This window comes from Homo sapiens, chromosome 18 (genome assembly GCF_000001405.40).
Source record: "Homo sapiens chromosome 18, GRCh38.p14 Primary Assembly".
NCBI classification, from domain to species: Eukaryota; Metazoa; Chordata; class Mammalia; order Primates; family Hominidae; genus Homo; species Homo sapiens.
Genome location: NC_000018.10, coordinates 41,503,931 through 41,516,152, shown reverse-complemented (window position 1 = coordinate 41,516,152; position 12,222 = coordinate 41,503,931). Strand labels below are relative to the sequence as shown.

At 32.7% G+C, this 12,222-nt stretch overlaps 2 long non-coding RNA genes across 2 annotated transcripts in view; one reads left to right on the top strand and one right to left on the bottom strand.

The window, feature by feature from the left end:
* The window catches only part of KC6 (keratoconus gene 6), a 40,407-nt gene that overhangs the window by 4,525 nt on the left and 23,660 nt on the right, over positions 1 to 12,222 (top strand). The window lies entirely within an intron of this gene.
* LOC105372083 (uncharacterized) lies at positions 8,454 to 12,019 on the bottom strand. Its single transcript, XR_001753428.2, has 2 exons — positions 11,946 to 12,019; positions 8,454 to 9,586 (listed from the first exon to the last, which is right to left on the bottom strand). It is a non-coding gene; the product is annotated as an uncharacterized LOC105372083 (long non-coding RNA).

The window sequence follows — 12,222 nt, the reverse complement described above, 5'->3', positions numbered from 1 at the left end:
AGGGCAGGAAAGTTATGTACACAGGAGAAAGTGCAAGCTGAGCTTCGAAAATCCCTCTGATTCATTGTTTTATTTATTCAGTAATACTTTCTTAGGTACCTACTCCGTATAAGGCACTGTGCTAGATAGAAATTTTAAATATATAATTAATTAAGTCATCATTAATTCACTAAACAAATATTTAAGCTCAACATTAGATGGTTCTGGGAATAGTGGAACAAGATACCGTTCTTTTCCTTCTCATACATTACAACATTACATCAAATAATGTTCATGTGAGATACGTGACACTGTTATCTTCATTTTCCTGGTTGGAAGACTGAAGCTTTCGAGTGATTAAATAACTTACTTTTGATCATCCAGCCAACAAGTGGCAACATCAAAACTTGAACCCAGCTCTGTCCGAGACCAAAATCATTGTTCTAAATATTTATGTGGGGCTGCCTCCATTTTGTAATTTATGAACATTTCTGTCTCATCCACTAAACTTTAAACTCCTTTAAGGCCAATGCATATCTTATATTTATTGTGTTATACTCTTTCCCCAGTGCCTGCCAGAGTACAATATATAACCATCAAACCGACTTTTTCTGTATAATAACTGTTAGACATGAATATACTGTGAACTTCCTCAACGTTCTTATCCCAGGTATTTCTTGAGCCCTTCCTAGTCAGGCTCTGTTCTAGGTGCTATGGTGGATACTATACATGAAGAACTTCTTTTGTCAAAGAAGCTGTCAAAATGCTGGAGAGATAAAGTTAAACAGGTTTCTTCACAACAAGACTTCTTAGACCCTTGAATATGTTAGTAAGTTTTGGGGCTATAAGGGATATAGTGTGCAATATTTTTTCAACTTGCTTGATCAAAGGCCACTTTCCCTTCTTAGTATGCACCATGAATTGTCAGTGCCACTCTAAATATACAATTTCCATAACTTTGCACAGAATCCATATGTAAAGAATCTGGCAGAAAATATAGTGAAACTTCTAACAATGAAATAGATGTCTAAATATAGTTCACTTAGAATCACATCTTCAACCCTGATCTTGATGCCTCCACACTGGGAAGAGATTTTGTCCCTAAAATGATACCTCCCTTTTCAGGACCCGATATCCCAACAATTTCTCAAATACTTAGTTTTTTATGTTGTCAAATAATTCCTTTAGCTAATAAAGATGGAGAAGTCATAAACCCTACCCCAAAACAATTTTTTTCTAAAATCTAAAATAATGTAATTTTAATAAGTTTAATGTACCTTAACAAATGTTGTTGGAGCAATGTGTGGACAAGTTTCACTTAATCACCTAAGTGACTATATGCAAGGCAACCCTCTTGCAACACAACCCACTGTAAGAAGACAGCACTATATATTTGATCCAGCATGCTACCAGTGCTACAGCTAAAAAAAAAAAAAAAACTGGAAGAATATTCTCTGCTGCTGAAGAACCGGAAACATTATCACCACAAGGAGCAAAACAGCCCATGGCTTTGGAGCCACACCAATAAAACCCTACCCCTTACTGGGTATATGACCTTAGCAAGATTTATGATTTCCCTAAACTGCATTAACCAAAGTAACGTTAGCGAGTTATGTTTGTCCAGGGGATGGTCCTTTTTCTGAGATAAAGTGATGGGGATCACTAAGGCCGAAGAAAAATAAGAAATTCAGCTTGAGTCTTTACAGTAGATTTGTGTGTATGTGTGTGTGTGTGTGTGTGTATGCTACATACTAAGCACACAGCAGCATTTTTTCTTGGCAAACACTGATATGATATCCTAATTGTCTCAATTTTAGTAAGGAACATAGCTGCTATGTAAGAGTTATTTTACATATAGTTTTGTTCCCCTAATCCTTCCTTAACTGTGATATATATGAAATATATTATATACATGTAATATGATATATGTGATTGGCATTTATCAATGGATATTGATGTATGTGATATATGTAGTATAATTATCCCCATTTTGAAGGTGAGGAGACAAAGGCTAAGGAATTTTCCCATGATGACACAATTAGTAGGTTGAAGAATCAGGATCGAAAACCACGTTATTTTTTTTTCCTCCAAAGAACATGATTTCTATTGTATCCCCATTCTCTTCACATTAACTAACATTAGTGACTCACTTTACTTGAGTTTGTTTTTTGTTGTTGTTAAAGAAAACGCACCAACTAGATGATTTCTACAATGTCCTTTCTACAATGTCCTTTCAGTTTAAACACTCGTTGAAGAGAAAAGTAATTCCCTTTAGTCACAGCATCTCCTGTGAGGCTGAAAAAAAATATTTTTATTATCTATCAATTCACTCCCCCACTTTTATGATTATTATTTTTTTCCGTATGCCTAGGCCTCCTGGGTCCAGCATCCCTGTCTTCTTGTCAACTTTTCAAGTAAAGTAATGCATTTCATTACATTTTGGATGCCACACCAGTTTAATCCCATTGATAGAGGGCTATGCAATCAAGCTGACAGTTGGATGATGATTTGAATCGTCCTGACTCATTACTTTGTGAAGGATTTGGCATGCCAATCAATGGGGAATGATGTGCCGTGCCTTGAAGAATGACAGTAATCCATTTTCCACCAATTGACCTGATGAGTCCTTGACAGACTCACAAGTTATAGGGCCAAAGCCAAACATGATTTGGCACATGCCTCCCAGCACTGCCATTTTGCAGACCCTTGGGGTATTTATCAAAACTGTAGCCTTCTTGTCTTCTGCTGTCATCGGCCACACATCTTCAGGAGGTAGTCCAGCTTAATAGGCTTTTGCAGGTGAGTAATGGGCAACTTTCTTGACCTCACCTGATATACTTATCCAAAGTATATCTGTAAAGAAATAAATTGAACCTCCTAATTACTCCCACCCATGCTGGCACATGTAAATTTATACATCTGAGTGAGAGCTGTCTTTCAAAGTAGTCATCCTGGGAGTAGATATATCTATTCTAATGAGGTTGTCAACATTCAACAGGCATTTGAAATTTCTCTTTTAAAATTTTCTTCAGAACCGGTGTTTAATTACCAGTACTTTCAAAGGACACCTGTTTCGAGGTCACAGTTGTAGTCTCAGCTTGATCATGTTCATGTTCGTCTAATTCTCCTTTTCCTGTTTCTCAAAACGAGTCATTTTTAGGGCATTAAGAATATTCCTAAGAAGTATTTTTTGGTCCAAATGCAAGTCCAAAAGGAGCTTCAGAAATTTTTCTAATACCCGCCCTTTGGATTAAGAGTCTGTGTTTCTAAGGTAGTTAGTTTGAAAGCATTGATATGACCAATTTAATGTATAATTTTCATATTTTTAAGTCATAGTAACTTTTTTGATATAGGATGTTAAGCATTGTCAAATTGCCTAAAAAACTTTATAAGCTACATATTTCCTGTGTCCCATTGCCTTATTTGCAGAATACTCTGGAACATATTACCTTGCCATGAACAATAACATCTACATGTTTTCTACAAAGCCATTGACAGCTATCCCTGCACACTACAGATGTAAGATTTGAGTGTTGCTTTCTAGATATACTCACCAGCCAAAGACAATGGGATTTCTCATAAGAAAAAGCTGAGATTTACTAAAAAAACAAAAACAAACAAATAAAAACAGTATCTCTGACCAAATAGCCTAAAGAAAATTTCACCATTTCTCAAACTGTGTCTATGTCTGCTGGACTTTCAATATGAATAAATGATTAGGAATCACTTGACATTTGAAGATCTTAAAATAAAAGAGACCAAAACAGAGAAGAAACAGATACAAAGAAACATTGAGAAACTGGTAATAATGGTTACTTCAGGAGAAAGGAACGGTTGCTAAGAGAAAAAGATAGGAGGGTAACATTTCACTACATAGATTTTTTGTATTTTGTTTAGACTGACAGCTTTATACAATTGACATACAATAAACCTGCACATATTTCAAGTATGCAGTTTGGCATTTGTATGAATCCATTAAACTATCACCTCAATCACGATAAGAAACATATCTATCACCCTTAAAAGTTTCCTCATGCCCTTTTATAATTCTTCTCCTCTACGCTCATATCATTCCCAAGCAATCACTGGTCTGTTTTTTTTTCACTATTAATTACTTTTTAATTTTTAGAGTTTTATCTAAATAGAATTATATAGTAGGAACTCTTCCTCATCTAACTTCCTTCAGTCGGTATAATTATGCTGCTATTTATGTAGGTGTTGTATTTATCAATTGTTTACTCATTTTTATTGTGGAATGGTATTTTATAATATAGCTATACCACAATTTTTTTATCCAATCACCTGTTGATGGATATTTGGGTTGTTTCACATTTTGGGCTCTTAAAAATAGAGCTTTTGTGAAGATTGATGTACAAATCTTTGTATGGACATATGCTTTTATTTTTCCTAGCATAAATACCAAGAGGCAGAATGGCTAAACTAAATGGTAGATGTATGTTTAACTCTTCAGAAAATACTAAATTATTTTTTAAGGTGGTAATACCATTTTAGACTTCTACCGATGGTGTATGAGAGTTCTACTTGCTCCATATCCATACAACACTGGAAATGATAAGTCCTTTTAATATTAGCATTTCTAATAAGCATGTAGAAATACATTAAAAAATTTTATTTTCATAATAACTAATGATGCAGAGCATTTTTCATGTGTTTATTTATCATCCGCATATCTTTTTTGAAGTACCTCCTTAAATATTTTGTTTATTTTAAAAAATAACATTTTTTGTTTTCTTCTTACAATTTTCTCAGAGTTCTGTATATATTTTCGGTATGAGCCTTTATCAGGGATAAGATTTAAAAATATTTTCTCCCAGTTTTTAAAACAGCAAAAGTTTTTAACTTTGATGAAGTTGAATTTATTAACTTTTCCTGATTGTGCTTTTGCTGTCATGTTTAAGAAACTGTCCCGTAAGCCAGGATCACAAAGGCTTTTTTCTGTGTTTACTTCAGGAAGTTTTAAAACTTTAAGTTGCACATTTAAGTTTATAATACATTTTTAGCTAATTAGAGTTATGGATCCAAGTACATCATTTTATTTTTGCATATAAATATCCATTTGTTCCACCCTGATTTGTTGAAAAGACAATCTCTTTCTAAAGTATGATCTTTGCACCTTTGTCAAAAAGTTCGTTTTATAGATATGTGAAGTTTGAATTTTAGGCTGTGTTCCTTTGGACTATTTAGCTCTGTTGTTGCCAAAACCCCACTGTCTTGACTATTGTGGTTTTATAACATGTTTTAAAGTTAAGAAACGTTAAAACCCCACTGTCTTGATTATTGTGGCTTTATAACATGTTTTAAAATCAAGAAATGTTAGTCCTCTAAGTTAAGTCTTCTTTTAAAAGTTTTTTTGGGCATTCTAGGTCTTTTGCATTTCTACATGAATTTTAGGTCAGCTTTCTATTTTCTAAAAATCCCTGCTGGGATTTTGATTGGGATTGCATTGAATCTATAGAACAATTTTAGGAAAATTTACATCCTAATATTATTCATTCATCTGACCCATAAACATGGTATATATTTCCACTTATTTAGGTTAATTTCTCTTAGTAATTTTTTTTTAATTTTCAGCATACATGTTTTGTCAGCTTTATTTCTAAGTATTCATATTTTATGTTATAATAAATGTTATTGCTTTATATTTCAATGTTGATGGTTTGTAACTAGTACATGAAAACACAATTGATTTGTACATATTGATGTTGTATCATTCAACATTGCTAAACTCACTTATTCTAGTTGCTCTTTTGAGATATCACTGAAGTTTCTATGTAAATGATAATGTTGTGTGCAAATAAAAACAGTTTTATGTCTTCCGTGTCAATCTGGATGTCTTTCATACCTTATTCTTGCTGTATTAAACTAGCTAGAACCTTCAGTATAATGTTGAATAAAGGTGGTGAGAGGGAACTTCCTTATCATATTCCTAATCTTAGGGAGAAGTATTTAGTCTTTTACCACTATCGTGTTAGCTGTAGGCTTATAGTAGATGTTTTTTATTAGCTTCAGGAAATTCCATTCTATTCCTAGTTTGCTGACAGTTTTAATCAGAAATAGATTTTGCCACATGCTTTTTTCGGTGGCTACTCATATGATCATGTTATTTTTCTTATTTTCTTAATATGGTGGATTACAGTAATTGATTCTTTGGTGCTAAAACAAATGTGGAATTTCTGAAATAAACCCCACTTGGTCATGATAATATTGTGTATGTGTGTACGTGTGTGTGTGTATGGTGTGTGTATATAACTTACAGTATGCTATATGTAGTATAGTACTACATATATATGCGTACGTGTGTATATATATATGGTGTGTGTATCTATATTATATATATAAATATGGTATGTGTATACACACCATATACACACAAACACACAATATTATCATAGCCAAATGAGGGTTATTTCAGGAATTCCAAATTTGTTTTAACACTAAACAAATGTGTGTGTGAGAGAGACAAAGAGAGAGATGAATTTTATTTGCTGAAATTGTGTTTAGCGATAACCCTATGATCCTATTTGTGTGTGTGTGTGTGTGTGTGTGTGTGTGTGTGTGTGTGTGTGTGTGTCTATAGTATTCTTTCATGCAATCTCTTTGTCAGATTTTGGTATCTATACAAACTCTTGTGAAATCACTTCTATCATTCCTGGTATTTGTAATAGTTTGCCTGTACTTTTTCCTGTTGAATCTGGACAAAGTTATAAGTTTTTATATATCTCAAAATACACACACACAATAGTTTTTAGTTTCATTTATTTCTCTAGTTTTTCTCTTTCACTGCTTTCTGCTCTGATCTTTATTATTTCCTTTATTCTTTTTAATCTGCATTTATTTTTACTTCTTTTTCTGCTTTTTTTAAGGAGGGGGATGAGATCATTGATCTGATGTTTTTCTCTTTTCTCATGTAGGCGTGTAGTGCTACAAATTTTCCCCTAAGTACTGCTTTACTGGCATTATACAAATTCCATGTCTTTCTATTTTCATTCAATTCAAAATACTTCCTCATTTCCCCTTTGATTTTTTCTCTGATACATAGGTTATTTAGATGTATATTAATTAGTTTTCAAGTATTTGAAAAGATTTTCCAGATATCATTCTGTTATTTAATTCTAATTTAATTTCATTGTAATCTGAGAACATTTTTGTGTGTGACTTAAATCCTTTTAAATGTATTAAGATTAGAATAATATACATCTTAGTAAATGTTCCATGTGCACTGGAAAATAATGCTTATTCTTCTGTTGTTCAGTAGAGTGTCTTATAAATATCATTTGGTCAGGTGGATTGACTGTGCTGTTCTATATACTTACTGGTTTTCTGTCCACTTGTTTTACCAATCAGGACAGAGAGGTATTAAAATTTCTAATTATATGGAGATTTTTATATTTCTCCTTGTGATTGTATTAGTTCTGCTCCATGAATTTTCTAAGCTCTGTTTTCAGTTACATAAATATTTACAATTGTTATTTTTTTGATGACTTAACTCTGTCATTATAAATATGATATTAAACCCTAGTAATACTCTTTGCCCTAAAATCTAATTTATTTTATGTAAATATAACTACTCTAGAGTATTTTTTAATAGTGTTAGTTTGTATATCTTATCCCATCCTTTTACTTTTAACCTATTTCCTTCTTTTATTTAGAATACACTTACAAGCAGCATATAGATGAGTCTTTCCTTCTTTCTTTTAAATCTAATCACAATCTCTGACTTCCAATTTGTGTGTTTAGAACATTTACATGTAATATGATTATTGATCTCTAATTTTGCTTTTTGCGTTCTATTTGTCCCATGTGTTCTTTCTTTCCTTTTCCTCTTTGTCTGACTTCTTTTCCATTATGTAAAGATGATTTACTTTATTGTCATTGTTGGCTTGTTATTTATTATTCTTTGTTCTGTTATTTTGGTGGTTGTGCTAGTTTTCAGAGAATATATTTTAATCTATCACAGATGCTCTTCAAATGGTATTTTACAATTCACAAATAGTACTAGAATGTTTCAATAATATACCTGTGTTTCTCACATCTCAGTTTCTGTGTTATGGTCATGGACTTTATATTGTTATAAACCTCTCAGTTTTGGTACTAGGGTTATGCATTATGCTTTATTTTACATTATTGTTATTTTTGTTTGTACAACAAACTTCATTCTATCTTATAAAATGATTTAAATATTAAGAAAAAATTTTGCATATTGATTTATGTAGTTAGATTTCTGATGCTATTCATTCCTATTTAGAGATTAGTATTTCTGTTTGACATCATTTTCCCTCCTTCTGGGTAAGTTTTCTTAACATTGCTTATAATAAAGGTCTGTTGGTGATAAATTATTTCAGCTTTTATGTGACTTAAAAAGATTTTAATTTAGTCTGGGAGACCTATACTTTGACTATTTGGTTCAGAAAAAGAGAAAAATAATGGAAGATAAAAAATTATCACATACACTGTTTGATTTTATGTTGAGTGGGTTCATCATGTGTTTATTGCATTAGAAAAACAAGTGTTCATACCAAGAACAAGGAGAAGGTTTCAGAAGCTTCCAAAAACAAACAAAATAACAGTTTTTATATAAAGGATTAGGAATCAGAATGTTGTAAGGCTATTAAACATTCACTCTGGAAGCTAGAAGATAAAAAAAAAGCCCTTTAAAATTCTATATCTAGCAAAATTAACAATTTTGTGTGAACATAGAATAAAGCAAGTGTTAGCAAATATTTGCTTCGTAAAGGTCCAGATAATAAATGTTGTAGATTTTATCATCTAAATGTTCTTTATTGCAATTTCTCAAATCTTCCATTGTGGCATAATATATAATAAGTAAACAAATGGATGTGGCTGTATTCTAATAAAACCTTATTCACTAAAATGGGAGGATTTTAGCCTACAGCCTATAGTTGGCTGACCCATGGAATAAAGATATTTTCAAGTAAGCAAAATCACAGGAAAAAAAATGTTGCTTTTTTTGTATCTTTTTCTGAAAAGTTATTGCATAAATATACCCATGAAAATTAGGGTTGACACCAAGTTTTTAAAAATAACAGGAAATAGAGGATTCCATACAGGAGAAAAACCAACAGAACTCCCAGGCTGATGGTGAAGGAGAATATCAGGATGATAACATTGCCACTGGCCTAGAGAACAACCAGTTTAGACTAGAGCAGGAAGATGGAAAGCCCTAGGAGAATTATACATAAATAAGAAAAGAAACTTGTAGAATACCCAATGTGTTTAAACATAGTAAGACAAGATTTCAGTTTCTGTTGGAGAGTTCAGCATAAATTAATAACAGGTGTATAGGACATTAAGCAACTGAAAATAATCAGATAAGTATTAACTCCTGGATAAACATAAAGTTCTACAAGAAAGAATATCTAATCATACACAAAATGGGTTCCACTGTAAGTAATATTTATCCAATAATAATATACAAACACTGACTATTGATTTAACCAAAGTTATGATAGCCTGTTGAGAGGATGAGAAAAGTAGAAATATGTGTGTTTCTGTGCATGTGGGGAAATGACAAAGAGAGCGAGAGTCTCATCTTCCGCAGCAGGAACTAAACAGATAACAATAAAACCTGAAAAAAATAGAATAAACACGTTATTTAGGCATAGGGAGGGAAGAATATTCAGAAAAAAATGTAACATTGGAAAATAAAGATAATTACTTCTGGAAATGAGAATTTAGAGTGCAAATGGATAAGGCTAAACACTGTTATTTTCTTCACAATTTTTGAGAAACCTTGCTTATTAAACTTTGTACGTATATACTCTGATTATTAAACTTTGTACATATATGTTTTATACAAATAAAAATTAAATCAAAATAAGAACTTGCTAAACTTTCATGAAAGAAGAGAACACAGAGCTCTAAATGGATAATTGTCTTTATGAGAGTAAATATTTAACGTGGAAATTGTTATTCTTGTACCCAATAAAAATAAGAAAAACCATAATGTTGATGATAATGACTAACATGTTTGAACATATATTACGTTTCAGAGTGGTGCTAAGCACTTTACTTAAATTATCTTAATTCAGCTACCCTAGTATTATTTTCTATTTTGTTTTGTTAAGTAAACCAAGACTTAGAGATGATAAATAAGTCTTCAGGACCTATAGCCAGAAATAACAGGGGAGGGTTGAAGCGAAGTCCCTCTGATCCATAATTTGAGGCCTCTCTGATCCCATAGTGAGCACCTCAATCTGTGAGCTAATAGTCTTTTTTAGAATTATTCAACTTCAATTATTGATCAAAATTGCATCAGTTGCTTAAAACCAGTTTCTTCATCCATTCCCTACAGTAATAATATTTTAAAATATTCCAAGAACTTGACAATATTTCTTTTTCTCATCTCTGTTCTAATTTGTACCACTTTATTGCAATTTTTCCCTTGAGTTTGGATTGAAATTCTTGATTTTGTTCGGAGTTTTCGGAAAGTACATTAGAAGGAAATGCAAACTAAACATCCAAGCAAAGGCTTGCATTTTCCTTTTTCATGTTAGGAAAAGTATGAAGACATAGGACAGCAAACGGGGAAGTGTCTATTGAGGTCGGAATGTGGAGAAGGAGATGAACTGGAGAAGAGGGAAACCAACACAAAGAAAGACACAGAGAAGGCAGAGGGAGACAAAAATAGCAGGCACAGAGACAAACGAAAAAAAGGCAGATAGAGATAGGGTTGCCAACACGAAGAGAGTAAGGGGGCCAAGAGGTTGCAGCAATTCATACATTTTAGGTATTTTGGCTGAAAACAGCTCTAAGTCTATGGACTATTGTGTTATCAGTGTTACTATATTCTGAAACAATGAAAATAATACCATATGTTTTTCTCCCCTGATTTGGAGTTTATTATACAACTTTGTCTTTGCAAAGTGGTGAAACCAGGACTACATTATATACTCTGACTGCACGTCTTAAAATGTTCTGCAAAGCAAATATAGGATTACCTTCCATTGTGTCATTTGAATATTATAACATTCTCATGAATAAGATAAATTGGGAATGACAGAAGAATTTACTAAAATCTTTGCATAGCCAGTTAACCAGGCAAAGATCTGTCACTTGTCAAATTTTATAGATTTATTCATTTTTCCCCCATATCCCTCCTCCTACCCAAGATCTAAATTGTAAAGATTCATCTGGCACTAGAACCTTCAATGACAGGAGCCACAAGCTTCTATCCTTTTATTAAAAAATCTTGGTGTTATATTTTTAACTGAATTTCATATACTAGGAATGGGACAGTCAGACCCTTTTATTGCTTTACTGATCTCTTGCATTATATTCTCTCTCCAAAAAGACTCCTGTGGCCTAAACTCCTCTTCTTTCAACTCTTTAGATACAGCATCAGAGACAACACAGGATGTCTGATTTTATATAAAAGATATTAAATGGGTACAAAAAGATTGCAAGGTTATAAATCAATCTAGACTTTAGGATATATTGGCTATGGGTATATTACCAAGGTTTCATGTAATCAGCATGTGGATGGAATCGTGAAACTTTTAGCCCATTGAGGATTCAAATAATATGTTATTGTTACTACTGAGATTTTATGAGATCACAAAATAATTTTATAGAAATACTAGCTGCAGGCTACATAAATATGCTGTGTGTCATCATCCACATTCACATAGTCTGTCCAAGTATCCTGTTTTGTTTCCGTAAACCCACTTTAATCACACGACTCTCTTACTAAAATTTTCCTTGAATTCCCTTTGTTTATCAAAAAAAGTAAAACTCCCAGGCTTCTGTCCTCTGACCTACCTATTCCCACTTTATTCTTCTCTTCCTTAACTTTCTACTCCAAGGAGACTTTATTACTACTCAATTTCCAAACTGAAAAATTTAAAACAGTATCCAAAACAATCACTAACAAACAATAGAAACAAAGCCCCTTTATGCTCTTACACTTACACATGTGTTCATCTTACCATGTCTTTTCACCAGTCCCCACACACTCTCCAGAGCTTGGACCTGAATTTCACCTGGGCCATGAGTCATCTCTCTGTAGGATGGATATAAAAGAGTTTCATGAGCGATAAGGAAACCTGGACAATTTTCCACGTAATCAAACAGCCCATGTTTGGATTCTGACACAGTTTGGATATTTTGGCCCTTCCAAATCTCATGTTGAAATGTGATCCCCAGTGTTGGAGGTAGAGCCTACTGGGAGTGTTTGGGTTATGGGGATGGATCTCTCATGAATGG